Raw genomic sequence first — 16586 nt, forward strand, 5'->3', positions numbered from 1 at the left:
TGGGAATCCTTCCCCCAACAACAGGGGGAAGAGGTCAAGACATAGCTCAAACATTGGTCCTCTGAAGAGGGTCTCAGGTATGGGGCTGTGTAAGCAAAGCCCACAGATGCCAGGATGTGCACACGGAAATGGCACGGGGATCTGGGCAGAGCATTAGTGGTGACTGCTCCAGCTGGGCGGACCCAGCAGAGCTGGACAGTGTCAGGCTGCAGGGCTCCCATCTTGCCTCGTGATGTGGTTTGGATCTGTGTTCCCACCCAGATCTCCTGTTGAAATGTAATCCCCAGTGTTGGAGATGGGGCCTGGTGGGAGGTGATTGGATCTGGGGGTGGGTTCTAGTGGCCTGGTGGGAGGTGATTGGATCTGGGGGTGGGTTCTAGTGGCCTGGTGGGAGGTGATTGGATCTGGGGGTGGGTTCTAGTGGCCTGGTGGGAGGTGATTGGATCTGGGGGTGGGTTCTAGTGGCCTGGTGGGAGGTGATTGGATCTGGGGGTGGGTTTTAGTGGTTTAGCACCATCTCCCTAGGGCTGCTCTCATGATAGAGTTCTCAGATGTGGTTGTTTAAAAACATGTGGCACCTCCCTTTTCTCTCTCTTGTTCCCACTCCTGCCATGTGAAATGAGCTGCTTCCCCTTTGCCTTCTGCCATGATTGAACATTTCCTGAGGCTTCCCCAGTCACGCTTCCTGTGCAGCCTGTGGAACTGTGAGCCAATTATACCCCTTTTCTTCATAAATTACCCAGTCTTAGGTATTTATTTACAGCAGTTCAAGAATGGATTAAAACACTTTCCCTCCGGGTCTGATCTCTGGCTTTGGGTGCATTGGCCACCCTTCTCCCCACACTGCCCACAGCCCTTGCCATGAGACTCCATCAAAACACCTTCCCTCTAGGTCTGATCTCTGTCATTGAGCATGTTGGCTACGCTTCTCCCCCCATCACCCACTGCCCTTGCCATGAGACTCCATCTTGGTGCTCCCACCACGAGGCTGTGGCTTTATTCTGGGGAGTGTGCAGCTTCTGTGTTTCTTCCAGCTCAGCTGACTTTACCTTTGAAAGATAGGCACGGTGTCTGGAAGACAGCTCCTTGCACCTTTCCTGGGACCAGGGAGACAGTGATTGCTGAGTCTTCTCCATCAGATCTGGAATATGATTGTGAGGGTTGTGGATTGGAGGTGGGAGGTTGGGATTGGCCACAACAGGCCAGCCCAGCCGGAGGCCATGCTGTAGCTACAGTGACCACCAAGATCTCACGTTTGTCAAAATTAGTTGCATACCAGGCATTGTGTCCAAGGGTTCACCTGCCCCATCTCAGGTCTTCCTCAGCACCCAGAGCTACCAGATGTTAGCATTGCCTCGAAAACAGGTGCACACTGGACCTCTCAGGGTGGAGCCCAGTCTGATGACTCTGAAGCCCGTGAGTGTGACTGCCACACTGCTCCCTGCCCCACGGTCCTGCCCTCTCCCTTACAAACACACCCAAGAGTTTCCCAAGGGGAGACTAGACCCTTCTGATTCCATTCAGTACAACAGAAATTTAATGAGCACCTGCAGTGTCTTGGAGATGCTGCTTGGCACCAGGGCCACACTCAGAGGGGAGCCTGTCCAGAATAGATGACTGCTGTGCAATGAGACAGATGCCAAGACAGAGGCTCACCTGGATATGATGGGGTCACCAAGGTGACAGTGGCACCTGCTCACCCCTGCCCAGCTTCTGGGATGGGAGTCAAGACAGGGATTTCCAGGGAGGGAATCTGGGCAAGCCCAGGAGCACTAGTGAGAGGAGCAGCCCCGGGTGTGTGGAGGGCACCTGGCCTGGTGTGGTCAGAGCTGGGTGGGGACCACTGCGGAAGCAGAGGGAGGCATAGATAGGCTGGGGAGGAAGCTGGGCTGCGGTAGGTGGGAGGAGCCACTGGTCTGTTTTCAGGGAGATAAGTGGTTCAGACATGAAGAACGGCAGCGTCTGATACAGCCTCTGTCCCAGTGGCTGTGAAGGGCCACAGGTGGTGCAAATGGTCTCACCTCCATGTCCCTAGGCCTCCTGCACACATCCCGCCTGCCTCACCTGTGCCTAGAACCCGGGTCCATGCCTGAAGCACATGTCCTGTCTGCCTCACCTGTGCCTAAAGCCCAGGTCCATGCCTGGAGCACATGTCCTTCCTGCATCACCTGTGCCTAAAGCCCAGGTCCACGCCTGGAGCACACGTCCTTCCTGCCTTGCCCTACAGACCTAGAACCTGGGTCCACGCCTGGAGCACATGTTGCTGTGAATGCCACTGGTCACACCCTCACCCATGGATGGCAGGCTGGGGGTGTTGTGTGGGCTCACAATTCTCTCCCATGGGGGACAGCTCAGAGAAAGGAGAAAGAAATACCATTGGGGGGTGGGGCAGGTTTGCCACAATCCAGGTGAGAGGTCCGGGTGCCTGGATGGAGGTGGGGCTCAGATCAGAGGATTTCAGGGGCAGATTGGCCACAGGTGGCAATAGTCAGATGGGAGTGTTAAGAAGAGCGAATAATTGAGAAAGCTACATCCCAGGACCTGGGACCGGAGATGGGGCACACGGCAGGCACAGGCACCAGGGGCCAGGAATGGAGCCTGAGGCGTTGATTGAGGCTCTGAAGGGAGACTTCCTTCCCATGGGGTAAGGAGAGCCATGTGTCCTACAGCCCTCGGCAGTGAGAAGGCGAGTCAGGGCTCTGGTCCCTCGAGGAACAACATGGCCACTCTGTCATTTCCAACCTCATGGAAAACCCTTCTGTGAAAGATTGAATCCTACATTTAGCCTCGGCTAAGGGACAGCGTGGACCACTGTTCAATCATCCTTCAGTTTGGAAGGCCCTGGAGGCCTCCCAGCTTCCTCCCCAAACGCAATCCCCATTTTCCAGGGCCGTAGGGAAGTGCTGCTTGGTGGGGGGCAGGGGCCACGCGGGACCTGAGTACTTTCTGCTCGGCTGCATGTACATTTCATTTTCCTTCAGAGCATATGCATTTCACTAATGGGGAGATTTTAAGTGAAGACCTTATTACTCCAGTGAAAATAGTGGCTGTGTTAGGGTGGCGGGATTAGCAGGTGCCTGTGATGTCTTTTAAATTCCTGTAATAATGCTACTGCCTTTTGCCTTTTCAATTACGATTTTTGCAATGCATGACAGTAAAAGATCATGTAGGGCCGTGCAAGCCTTCTGCCAATCAAAAACCCTTGGGGGGGGGGGGTGGTTAAGACTGCCACAGATAAGGGGAATTCTGGTGAAATGCAGCCCTGAGCCTCCACGAGGCCCCATCCTGGCTGTATTGGGGTCTCTGCCAAACTCCCATCCTGCAGGAGAACAGAGTGAGGGCTGCCTGTGCCCAGTGGTCTAATTGTGTGTGAGCAGGAAGCTGAGACTGAGTGTCACTCGCAGACGGGGACCTTTGTCACTTCGAAGATGGCTTTTGCATTGTGGAAAGCAGGCAAGCCAAGGGCAGGATGTGGGGCAAATAATAAATTTCAAGGAATGAGGGGCCGCTCCCTGGTGTCCCTGGCATGTTCTGCAGAGCCTGGGTCTAGGGAGGGAAAAAGGAGCTGAGAAACAGAAAGAAATGATAACAAGGAGGAAAGAAAGGAAACAAAAAAGGGGAACGTGGCCATGCTGCAAGGGGCTGAAGGGTCCCGTCAGAAAAAAATGAAATGAATTAAGGAGAGCTGTGTTCCAAATACTGCAAACTTGGGAATGAGAGATGCGGTAGGAGGAGGAGAGCAAAGGCAGGCAGGAAAGGAAGTGAGTCTGGAGTCATTCTGATGGGGTCCCACGGTGCCCAGGCACCTGGTCAACCCTGTTATCCTGGACGCATCTGTGAGGGTGTTTCTGGATGACATTAGCTCTTAAACCAGCAGATGCCCCTCCCCTGGGGTGGGCGTCATCTGATCAGCTGAGGCCCAAATAGACCTAAATGTTTCACCCTCCCTGGAGCAAGAGGGAATCCTTTTCTGCCTCAAATGGCCTTCAAACTGGATTGTCGGCCTTTTCCCTCTCTTCGGACTCTGAAACATCGCGCTTCCTGATTCTCAAGCCCACTGGCCCTGGGACAGGAACTCAACCAAGAGCTTGCAGCTCTCCTGGGTTCCCTGCTGGCCTGCCCCACTCACCTTGCAGCTCCTGGGACCTGCCCGCCTCCATAATGGTGGGAGCCAGTTCCTCATAATAAATCTCTTTATAGATCTCTATATGTCCCCCCACAGGCTATGCTTTTCTGGAGAGCCCTGACTAGCACAGGAGGGTGGGAACTGCCAGGGAAGGGAGCTCTTAGGAGTCACAGTGTCTTTGTCCTCTTGAGGATAAGGAACGGGCCTCCAAACAGAAACTGGGAACCTTGTTCTTCTTGGGAAAACGGATGCGCACTTTTAATATTTATGAAGTAGGAAAATAAAACAAAAGATGAGTCAGAACATCAAGCCCAGAGATGAGAAAATTAAAGTACATAAAATATTGATCCATTTGGCTGGGCAGCAGGCGGCCGTGCGTGTGGTGGAAATGCTGTTTCTGGGCGTAGTTATCCCCCTCCCTTCCCATCCACGAGCTCCAGCAATTTAGTTAATGGGAGCCGAATGCAGAGTTCATTTTTCACATTCCATTAATGTTTCATTTCTAATACTCTTTTCAGTATAAATTTAAAAACAAAATAGAAATTGTGTCTTGATCATTATTCTCTATTAAGGGGAAAACGCGAGTGCTTCTCAGTTGCTAATCAGGACCCTTCAGGGGGGCACAGCTCCTGGGACAGTGTCCTGCTTCCAGGCCTTCTCCTCTCCTCCTGAGCCTTCCAAACACACACCTGCCACGCCCTCCCCGCTGAGCCCTGCAGCTCCCACTCTCAGCACGCTGCCCCGAGGTGCTTTTGGGATGTGGGTGCTAAACCCCTATCCCAGGAGCAGCCTGAGACCCAGTGTGATGCGCACGCTGCGTAGTGCACACACGTCACAACTACAGCACACACGTCACAACTGCAGCACACACGTCACAACTGCAGCATGCACGTCATAACTACAGCACACACGTCACAACTACAGCACACACACGTCACAACTGCAGCACGCACGTCACAACTGTAGCACACACACGTCACAACTACAGCACACATGTCACAACTGCAGCACACACGTCACAACTGTAGCGCACACACGTCACAACTACAGCACACACGTCACAACTGCAGCACACACACGTCACAACTACAGCACACACGTCACTACAGCACACACACGTCACAACTACAGCACACACGTCACAACTGCAGCACACACGTCACAACTACAGCACACGTCACAACTACAGCACGCACACATTACAACTGCAGCACGCACACGTCACAACTGCAGCACACACGTCACAACTGCAGCACACATGTCACAACTGCAGCACGCACACATCACAACTACAGCACACACATCAAGCACCAGAGGCAGCACAGACGGCAAGTCCCCAGGGATGCCCCAGGAAGGCTCCCCTGGGGAGCTGGGAAGGGGATGGGAGCAGGCCAAATGATGCTTTCAAAGCCTGTTGAGACGCTGAATCTACAAATGGGCAACAACCAGATGATAGAGAAAAGAGAGCTCTAATCCACGACCTGCAGCACCAGCCCAGGAAACCCCTTCCCTAGAGACCCAGCCCAGGAAACCCCTTCCCTACAGACCCAGCCCATGAAACCCCTTCCCTAGACACCCAGCCCAGGAAACCCCTTCCCTGGAGACCCAGCCCAGGAAACCCCTTCCCTGGAGACCCAGCCCAGGAAACCCCTTCCCTGGAGACCCAGCCCAGGAAACCCCTTCCCTGGAGACCCAGCCCAGGAAACCCCTTCCCTGGAGACCCAGCCCATGAAACCCCTTCCCTAGACACCCAGCCCAGGAAACCCCTTCCCTGGAGACCCAGCCCAGGAAACCCCTTCCCTGGAGACCGAGCCCAGGAAACCCCTTCCCTAGAGACCCAGCCCAGGAAACCCCTTCCCTGGAGACTAGGCCCAGGAAACCCCTTCCCTGGAGACTCAGCCCATGAAACCCCTTCCCTAGACACCCAGCCCAGGAAACCCCTTCCCTGGAGACCCAGCCCAGGAAACCCCTTCCCTAAAGACCCAGCCCAGGAAACCCCTTCCCTAGAGACCCAGCCCAGGAAACCCCTTCCCTACAGATCCAGCCCAGGAAACCCCTTCCCTAGAGACCGAGCCCAGGAAACCCCTTCCCTACAGACCCAGCCCAGGAAACCCCTTCCCTAGAGACCCAGCCCAGGAAACCCCTTCCCTAGAGATCCAGCCCAGGAAACCCCTTCCCTAGAGACCCAGCCCAGGAAACCCCTTCCCTAGAGACCCAGCCCAGGAAACCCCTTCCCTAGAGATCCAGCCCAGGAAACCCCTTCCCTAGAGATCCAGCCCAGGAAACCCCTTCCCTACAGACCCAGCCCAGGAAACCCCTTCCCTAGAGATCCAGCCCAGGAAACCCCCCTTCCCTAGAGACCCAGCCCAGGAAACCCCTTCCCTACAGACCCAGCCCAGGAAACCCCTTCCCTAGAGATCCAGCCCAGGAAACCCCCCTTCCCTAGAGACCCAGCCCAGGAAACCCCTTCCCTACAGACCCAGCCCAGGAAACCCCTTCCCTAGAGACCCAGCCCAGGAAACCCCTTCCCTAGAGACCCAGCCCAGGAAACCCCTTCCCTACAGACCCAGCCCAGGAAACCCCTTCCCTGGAGACCCAGCCCAGGAAACCCCTTCCCTACAGACCCAGCCCAGGAAACCCCTTCCCTAGAGATCCAGCCCAGGAAACCCCTTCCCTACAGACCCAGCCCAGGAAACCCCTTCCCTAGAGACCCAGCCTCCAGAACTGTTAGAACGTAAATGTCTGTTGTTGGAGGGGCCCAGGAAGGAGGAAAGGAGGGAGAATGTGGTCTCTGGAAGCTGAGAGAAGAGGGGATTTTAGGAAAGTGTTGGAGAAAAACGTGTTGAATGGTGCTGAGAGGTTAAAAGTCAGACAGGGACTATAAGGCATCTGTTGAATCTAGTAACAGCCTAAGTGACCTTGGCAAGCTGAGAATCAACAGAATGAGGAAGGTGGCATCCAGGCCAGAGTTGGAGGGGGTGAGTGGGAGGTGACAGATGATAAAATGGGGCAGCAGCTCCCCCAGGAATCTCACTGTTACCCCATTCACAAATCACGAAGTCAAGGTTTCTCAAGGTAAAGCAAGTTGCCTGAAGCCAGGCTCAGAAAGCAGCAGAATGGGAATTGAACCAGCCCTGCCTTCCATGCTTCAGCCATAGCACTGAGAACAGCACCCCATCAATAAGGCTCTTGATGTGTCTGGGTGCCATGCTCTTGGGAGCCCTTGGCTGTCTGGGCTAGAGCTGACTAAGCATCAGTGCTGGAACTGGAGAGGGACATCCATCTGGAGCCCCAGGGTTCAGCCAAGCCAGGGGCCTAAGGCAAAAGGAGGCTAGTTGGGAGGAGGGAGGGATTGGCTTTGAGAGGGGATTGGGATCCAGTACCTAGTGTTGGAGAGGTAGGGGGAGAAGGGATGAGAACCTCTGTTGTGGGCCAGCCCTAGTGGGCAGCCAGGCTTTCCTCTTCCTTGTGGCCCTTGTAGGTTGTGGTCTGAGTGAGCAGGGCTCCTTGAGTGGCCAAAACAGGGTTGACTGCCTGAGAAGTGGGGACCCAGCTCTCTGCTCTTGTGCCTGTTGGTAGTGGCTTGGAACATGCTGCTTTCAGTTGGCTTAATGGAACATGCCCTCTGCTTCACATCACATCCTTCTGAGGGTGAGACGATGCTTATTTTCTCTTAAGGTTTCTAAGTCACAGGGTACATTCTCCCATCTATGGGGAGTGCTGGCAAAATGTGATGCCCCCCCCACCCTGCACAGGAGCCCACTCCAGCAGCACAAACATAATTACTCCCTCCAGCTCTTTTTGTCCTGAGCTGTTCAGAGGAGAAGTGAGCAGAAGGTGGCTCAGAGAGGCCAGCCTTTCTCCTTGCTGCAATCCTAATGATAGCCGTGGCTCAGAGGCCTCCACACATACACTCTGGTCACATTCGGAGTCCTGCTGGGCTGTGATATATCCTGACTTTACAGATTAGGAAACTGAGGCTCAGAGAGTTCAGAATGACCCGACCCTGAGAATTACTGCTATTGCTTCCCAGGGAGAAGGTCTTTCTGTCTACAGGGGAGCAGGAATGAAGTCGTCCTTTGAACAGTATACAGTGAGTGGTCTGAATTTTGCTCCTAGAGACATAACCTGGAGCTTCTCATGCCACTGCTCTCAACTCCTGGCTTTTCCTTTGGAAGAAGAAAGAGACAGTGAGGTAGTGAGGTGGAAAGAGCATGGGGCTGCAGTCTTGCCTGGCCATGGGAGGATTTGATTATCTCAGTTAAGTGAGGAATCTCTGAATCTCTCGTATTCGGTTTCCTCAACTGCACAATGGAGGCAGCAAAGCAAGCCCAGGTGAACTTCCAAATGAAGGCTGTTGGCAAAGCACTTGAAAAAGTGCCGTGGGGCAAGGATTATTTCTGCCATGCCATGAAGGTTGAAGGCGTCTTTCTTCATCCTGGCAGCCCTTGTTTACATCAAGGCAGAGCGTGTCCTGGATGCACCTTCTGTGTCTGTCTCCCCACCCATGTGGCCTGGAAGTGGCCCTCCCTGATCTCTCAGACTGCAAGTCTAAGACTCAGTGGTCTCAGAGCCATGCCTGGGCTGCTTCAGTCTATTTTTTCCAGTCCCACTAGCCCAGAGGGTCCCCTCAGCTGTCGGTGAGTTTACATCTTGGACAGGCATCCATTTCCTAGGAGCAAAAATCATTTAACGGCTCTAATCTCCAGTCTGCTGGTTTCATTATTTAAACCAAAATGAAATGTGACCCAGGGTGAGAAAAGAGACCAAGTGTGCAGCTGAGAGCCATAATGAGACATTTACAGCCTAGCTAGGAGATGCCGAGTCCCTTCCCGAGAAAGGATCAAGAGTCCCCCCAGGGTGGGAAGGAGACATAAATGACTATTGACAAAGCTAGCCAGTGGGAAATCTAACAATAATGGTACATTTTGGAGAGAACAAATCAACTCCCATGTTATTCCGATTACAGTAGTCCAGAGCTGGAGGCCTGGCATTTGCAGCCTGCCAGCTCCTGTCACACCATTCTCATTACCAACCCAGGAGGACTCTTCAATCAGCCTCTAAGAAGAAACCCGGGATGTCCTTCCCTTAAACCAAGAGGGCAGGGTAGAAAACTGCTTGGGAGGGGACATGCCCCTGTAAAGGAGGGAGTGCTTGGGTGGCCTGAAGAGGCTGACCCCAGGGCATAATGCGTGGGCCTCTGCTGTTGCGTCCCTACACATGGCAGCAAGGTGGTGTGGAAGGGCTCCAGAGATGGAGTGGTGGTTCCTCCCAAGTGTGGGGTCTGAGGAAAAGAAGGGCAAAGCTAGGAGTCAGGGAGGCTGGGGAGGAGGAGGAGATAGAGAGATATTTCAGCCTCCTACAAAGCTGATATGAGTTGACCCCAGCTTACCTTGCCACCAGACTCTGCTGCTGACCCTTTAGTCTAAATGGCCTTTAGGAATCCTCCACCTTCCCAGCCTTTATTCCATACCTACCTCATTTAACCTGCCCAATGTGCTTCCCCATCCCTCTTTCCTATTCCAGTATAGCACATCTTTTAGAGACCAGTTCAATCTCTAGCATCTAGGACATAACAACTATGATAATGTTGGTGATAATGATGGTGATTTTAGTGGTAATGTCAACGGTAACGGTGGTGATGATAATGGTGATGGTGATGGTGATGATGGCAGTGATGTGATGATGATGGTGATGGTTATGATGATCATGGTGATGATGATGATGGAGATGATGATGATGGTGGTGATGATGATAGAGATGATGTTGATGATGGTGATGGTGATTATGGTGGTGATGATGGTGATGATGGTGATGGTGATGATGGTGGTGATGGGGGTGATGATGATGGTGATAGTGATGGTGATGATGATGGTGATGGTGGTGATGATGGTGATGATGGTGGTGATGATGATGACAATGATGGTGGCGGTGATAGTGATGAAGACAATAATGATAGCACCTGCTGCATGCCTGACACTATTCTTGCCAGTCGTTACGTGTATGAATTCTTTGAATCCTTATAACTACCCTGTGATGTGGAGGCTTGTTAGCATTCTTAGTTTACAGGTGAGGAAACTTAGGCCAGTAGAGGTTATTGTCCATGTTTACCTGACTCCCCACTCCAATGACCTCTGTCATCCATTGGACATTTCTGCAGTGGTGGCTCTATTTCCCTTTCTGATGTCCAGAAGCATTACTTATGTCATCTGTGGCCTTTTCTCCCTGTTTATCTCTGCCTTTCACCTGGCTGGGCCCTCCATATGTTGTCCGCTCTTGTATCTGCCACTGTGCCGTGCAGGTGATTTCCTGCATAAAATATTCAACAAACACATGGCGATGCTGAGTAGAGGAGTCAGAGAGACAAGCGCGGTTTCGGGAAGCAGAAGTCAGCAACTAATGGGCTATGCAGATCCAGCAAGCCCCCAAGGACTTGGGAGAGAGCAGATGTGGGGCTGGGTGGGAAGAGGGGGCTGAGTGCAGGGTAAGGGGCAGCTGCGTGCTGGAATTGCTCCTGGGGGATGGCACCTCTGAACATTCACCCCTGGAGAGAAGTGTCCTTTCCTGCTTTAGAACCCAGCCTCCACCTCACTGGCCTCCCTCATGCTCCAGTCAAATGAACTATATTTGCGTTTATGTTTCCACATCCTAAAAAAGCACTTGTGAAACACTTCAGCGTCTCAGCCCCTGGGGACACCAGGACTTCTGAGAGAGACAGACTAGAACCATTTATTTTTCCTTCCTAAATGCCATGGGCAGCTCTCTATGACTGAGCTGACAAGGCTGTGTCTTGTTAAGCATCACAATGCAGAGGGGGTCAGGGATGCCAGGCAGGGAGGAGAGATGGAAGGGGCATGGGGTCACTTCTTTGGGGACACTGGTGCAGTATCACTGTGATTGTGGGTATCTAAAACCAGTGGGACAGCAAAGACAATTAGGTTTTATTTATTTCACACACTCTTAGAGGCACCTACGCACCAGACGCGCTTCCTAGCTCTTTATAACATTAACTTGCTTAATCCTTATGATAACCCCATAAGGAAGATGCTAACATCAGCCCACCTGACAAAAGAAGAAACTTGTCCCAGAGTGGAGAAGTTGCTCCCCAGGGCTGCAAGGCTGTTGGGGGCAGCGGTGGGTTTGCTCCAGTGTCTCCAGATCTGGCCCATAACCACACTCGGGGTGGCCTAGCATATATTTTAATTACTTCAAATATACTTTATGCTTATTATTTTAAATTCAAGCATAAACATCCTTTTACTAAAGGGACAGTGCCTCGAAACACAAAGAAAGGCCCAGAGGAATGTGCAAATGAAGGAGTGTCGAAGCCAGGAGGGCCCCCAGCCTAGCTCCTGTTACCCTAAAGAAGGCAAAACCCATGGGTGAGTTCTGCAGGAGCTGAGGCCAGACCACAAGGCGGGAAGAAGGATGGAGCCCGTGACTTCCTCCTAGAAATGAATACAGGAGGCTCTGGTAGCCTGCTCAGATAGGACAGGTGAAAGGGACAGGACAGGGACCAGGCCAGGTCTGCTCCCAAGTGAGCCCCACCCATCCCGTGACCTCCAGTGACCCTTCCTCTTCTTCCAGGGTCACATTTCACAGACCCAGCCTCATATGGTTTGGCTGTGTCTCTACCCAAATCTCATCTTGAACTGTAGTTCCCATAATCCCCACATGTTGTAGGAGGGACCTGGTGGAGACAATTGAATCATGGAGGCTGTTTCCCCATCCTGTTCTTGTGATAGTGAGTTCTCACAAGAGCTGATGGTTTCATAAATAATTGTATCACGAGGACTGTTTCCCCATCCTGTCCTCATGATAGTGAGTGAGTTCTTACGAGATCTGATGGTTTTATAAGGGGCTTCCCCCTTCCCTGGACACTCATTCTCTTTCCTGCCACCCTGTGAAGAGGTACCTTCTGCAATGACTATATGTCTCCTGAGGCCTCCCCAGCCATGAGGAGCTGTAAGCCAATTAAACCTCTTTCTTTTATAAATTACCCGGTCTTGGGTATTTCTTCACAGCAGTGTGAGAACAGACTAATACACAGCCCTTGGTGTGGGTAGACATGCCTGTGCTGGGAAGGGGCCATGAGGCCCTTTTATTTAACATCCCATTGCTCTGAATCCCTTTGTTGGGCCCCATGGAGCAGAGCACTCTGGCTCCCTAGGCCTCATTGCACGGCCTCTCTCTCTCTCCTGTTCCTCCACCTTATGCCCTGTGGACGCTTCCTGATGCCTCCCTCAAAGCATGAAGAGAGTTTTCAGCCCACAGGCTGTGACCTGGTTGGAAACACAGACTCAATTCCCTTGGACAGAGGTGAGCACAGCCTGTGGGAAGTGCTTGGGCAAAGATGAGGGGCTCAGGCTTGGAGGCTTAGGCAAGATGGGAAGTAAGACAGGAAGGGGTCTGTCTGGGAGGCTTCCTCACATAGAAGCCTGGGGCTGGCAGGACATTTTTGGGGCAGGGCAGAAGTGGTGAGACCACACAAGGAGGTGGTATCTGTCACAAGAAATGGGTGGAGGACAGAATTCAGGGGAGCAGGTGGAGGAAGAGGAGGCTGCGGTGTTGACCGGAGGTGAGGAGAGTTACTAGGAGGCCAGGGGAGCACTGTGCATGGGAGTCCTTGGAGAGCTGGGGCCCAAAGGGGGGTGGCCACAGGTCCAGAGGGCCCAGGGGCTTTTGACATTCAGCTGAATAGCATCTTCCCAAAATCCACGATTCCTTGGAACCTCAGATTCCTTATAAAACCATCAGATCTCGTGAGAACTCACTCACTATCACAAGAACAGACTTTATTTGGAAATAGGGGCTTTGCAGATACCAATAAAGATTTGAAATGAAGTCACGCTAGATTAGGGTAGGCCCTGAACCCAATGGGAGTGTCCTTATGAGATACAGAAAAGGACACAGAAACACACAGAGGGGAAGCCCACATGAAGACGAAGGCAGAGATGGGGGTGAGACATCTACAAGCCATGGAATGCCATGGATGGTGGGAGCCACCAGCAGCTGGGGAAAGGCAGGGGATGGATTCTTCCTCTGAGTTTCCACTGGACTTCTGGCCTTCTGGAGTGTGAGAAAGTACATGTCTAGTATTTTAAGGCCTCAGTTTATGGGAATTAGGGCAGCCCAGAAACCTAATCCAGTGGTCACTGGTCGTCTTTGAGAAAGGGCTTTGGCTCCCGAGGTGGGAGTGTTCGGTGATGGGTGGAGAAGACCTGGATACAGCAGGCAGAGATGGGTTCTCAAGGACCTCAGTGGTGAGGGGAAGGGAAGGGATGGGGCAGCAGCCTCGAAGTCAGGTGGAGAGAAGCAGATAACTTTTAAGGAAAGGGATGGAGGCCACAGGGGAGGGAGTTGGGGAGAGGTATCAGAGGCTGCCTTCAAAGCCAGGCCCTGGGGGGAGGATGATTGAGACGTCCTGCAGGACATGTGCTGAGGCTGGGCACGTCAGGAGGGCTCTTGTAGCCCTGATGCCTGCATGGCCTGGCACCAGCTGGAGCTCAGTGGGTGTTTGAAGAATGAGGCGAGGGCAGAGATGGAATCAGGAAATGGGTGGAAGGCCCTCACTTCCAGTTGAAAAGGCCACAGGTTTATTCTGCAAGATCTTGGAACTGAATCAGGAGCCTGCACCCCAGGGCATTGAGCTGAGTGAGGAGCCAGGAGGGCTTTTATGGCTTGGAGGACTGTCCCCTCCCATCCACATTGGTGGAGGCCATTAACTTTCAAACTGGGCTACACCAGAATCATCTTGGGGGCTTATTTAAAATGCAGATGCCTGGGCCTTGCCCTCAGAGATCCTGATGTAGGAGGCCTGGAGTGCGGCCCAGGAATCTGCATTTTATCAAGCACATTCAACTGATCTTGACACAAAAATTTCAGGTGGGACCTGGGGGAAGACGGGGCACATTCAGCTACCCTTTGAGCAGTTTGAGTGTCATGCAAGTTTTCTTCCCTACATGGCCCTTGAGTCCTTACATTGCTGCTGTTTCCTGGAATCTCAGCCTCAAATCTGTGAGGTCATGTGTGTGGCTTTAAAAGCTCCCGCTGCCCTGTTTACCTTAGTGGTTCATGGCAAGAAGTGGGGGATGCATTTCTGGGAATGCCTGGCCCTCCTGCAAACATGCAGAAGAGTCAGAGGTGACTCTTTTCTTTTTAAATTTTGAGACAGGGTCTTGCTCTCTTGCCCAGGCTGGAGTGCAGTGGCACAATCACAGTTCACTGTAGCCTTGACCTCCCAGACTCAAGTGATCCTCCCACCTCAGCCTCCCAGGCAGCTAAGACTACAGGTACACACCACCATGCCCAGCTAATTTTTGTATTTTTGGTAGAGATGGGGTCTCACTACATTGCCCAGGCTGGTGTTGATCTCCTGGGCTCAAGCCATCCTCCCACTTTGGCTTTGGCCTCCCAAAGTATTGGGATTACAAGTGTGAGCCACTGTGCCTGGTCAGAGGGGACTTTCTTTACTCCTCCAAACATTTTGTAAAGACTGAAGATGGAAAGGTGGAAGGAGAGAGCCGGGCCGGGCACCACTCCGCAGGGAGGCCTTTGTTTGCCGACTGAAAGGGTCAGAGGCCCTGTGCTGGACTCTGAGAAGCCATGTCAAGCACACACATTTTTCTTTGAGAAAGCGGCATGTGGCATGCGGCAGGGGCCTGTATTTAATAACACAACCCTCACATGAAAGGCAGGGGAGATGTGGATAGCTCCGTCGCTGGAGAGCTGTCTAATCCTGATAAATGCAGCATCATCCCTCCCACAGTGAAAAGTCCCTGCATTAGATTAAACATATCAATCCTGTGTGTTACCTTCTCTTGTCTGACAGCCAGCACCTGGACGGCCTCTGGCGACCTGCCTTCCATGGCCCTATGTGGAAAGTACATGGCTGAGCCCCAGATTCCAAGTAATGTCCATGCTCCAGCCCTGGGGAAGCAGCACCGAGGCTGGACACTGTTGCTGAGGCAAGGCTGGGCAGCTGCCCTGGGTTGGTAGTCGGTCACAGCTCTCCGAGAGCCCTGTGATGCTTTGAAGGAAGAATGTGTGTTTTTGTAGCACACGCTGTTCACGCCCCAGCAGGCCAGTGCCCCATTCCTGAGCCTTCTCAGGGGCAGCCCAGCCCTCTCCTCTGGGACTGTGCAGAGATGGAGGCGAGAGAAGTAACACAGCCTGGACCGGGAAGGTAGACTGCTGTGTGTCCCCGCGGATTCAGGCGGCTCTGATCCCACCTGATAGGTAGACAAGAACGCACTTGGCAACTAGTAGCCACTCACCTGGTACCCGGGCCATGTGGACCTGCCCTAGTGTGGCCTCGCTTACTGCCCGCCAGGGACTCTCAGTGCCTCCCCTTCCTGATGGTCCTGCCTGCCCCAGGTAGGGGGGTCCAACTCCAGAATCCCCCTCGGAGCCAGCCTCTCAGGGATTCAGGTGCCTTTGACCGGGGCCCTGCTTGCAAGGGAAGGATGGATGGGGAGGAGATGGCAGGGCAGGGGCTGAGGAAGAGGTGGTGTCTTCAGGAGAGAGCCTCAGTCTGTCCTCCAGGGAGCCCTGGAGTGGGAATCAGGAGGGGGTGACCTGCCCTCATGTAAGGCGGCTCCCATCAGCCAAGGACAGTTCCTGGTCCAGGGCCTGGTCCTGGTCCAGGGCCACATGCCTTCTCTCATGCTGACCTCTGCATGGTCCGAGAGGGGAGGGCTGGGCTGGTTGGGCACCTTGCAGAACAGTGTGTGTGCTCACCCTATGGCGGCATCACGTGAATGGAGCAGCGAGGAAGGAGCAGCTGGTACGTTAGAGGCTTTGGTGAGACACTCACGTTCCAAAGGCAGGAGCTAAACCCAACAAAGACTCCAGGGCTGGGCCTGTCAGTGAAGATTTCAGGGATCCAGAGGTCTGGGCCATGTCAAGGCATCCCCTCCAAAATCAAAAATAGGTGAGGGCACCTCAAACCTCTTACCACTGAGAAAGGCGCACGAATCTCGGTGGGCAGAGCCCAGAGCAAGGCATGCTTCTGCAGCAGGTCCAGGCTGTGCCGCAGGCCAATGACCATGGTGAATTCATCCGAGGCCTGTGGTGCTGGTTGACAGCCACTGCTCAGGAGCCTGTGACCCACTGCGCTCCTCAGAACAGCTCCCTGCAAAGACCATCCCTCCTCATATAACCTAGGTGAGGCTCACAGACACCCCCACCAGTTTACCCAGGACAAGTCCAGACACAGCCCCTCTGAATTCCATTTCTTTGCCTCACAGATGATTAGTGGAACTGTTTTGTCCCCACTGATAATTGGAACAAAATGCTTGTTAGTGAAACAGTTCTGCTTCTCTCCCACCCCAGGCCCTGAACTCTGGCTTACCCTCAGCCTGAACCCATAGACGGCCATCCGGTCTGAAAGCAGGCTGGCCTCAGGGTCAAATGTTCTCTGATCCATTGTCCCACTGAGCCACCTCCACCTTTTCTTCTC

The 16586-nt window shown here is 53.2% G+C and overlaps 3 annotated features.

Annotated features, from left to right (window-relative positions):
• Positions 2133-2633: an enhancer, noted in NCBI's record as "H3K4me1 hESC enhancer chr1:4388931-4389431 (GRCh37/hg19 assembly coordinates)". NCBI's record gives its function as "activates a minimal SCP1, AML or CMV promoter by ChIP-STARR-seq in primed H9 embryonic stem cells {active_cell/tissue: H9 hESC(primed)}" and the evidence as "EXISTENCE:reporter gene assay evidence [ECO:0000049][PMID:30033119]".
• Positions 14685-15186: an enhancer, noted in NCBI's record as "H3K4me1 hESC enhancer chr1:4401483-4401984 (GRCh37/hg19 assembly coordinates)". NCBI's record gives its function as "activates a minimal SCP1, AML or CMV promoter by ChIP-STARR-seq in primed H9 embryonic stem cells {active_cell/tissue: H9 hESC(primed)}" and the evidence as "EXISTENCE:reporter gene assay evidence [ECO:0000049][PMID:30033119]".
• Positions 15187-15686: an enhancer, noted in NCBI's record as "H3K4me1 hESC enhancer chr1:4401985-4402484 (GRCh37/hg19 assembly coordinates)". NCBI's record gives its function as "activates a minimal SCP1, AML or CMV promoter by ChIP-STARR-seq in primed H9 embryonic stem cells {active_cell/tissue: H9 hESC(primed)}" and the evidence as "EXISTENCE:reporter gene assay evidence [ECO:0000049][PMID:30033119]".

The sequence above is a fragment of the Homo sapiens genome, chromosome 1 (assembly GCF_000001405.40).
Source record: "Homo sapiens chromosome 1, GRCh38.p14 Primary Assembly".
NCBI classification, from domain to species: Eukaryota; Metazoa; Chordata; class Mammalia; order Primates; family Hominidae; genus Homo; species Homo sapiens.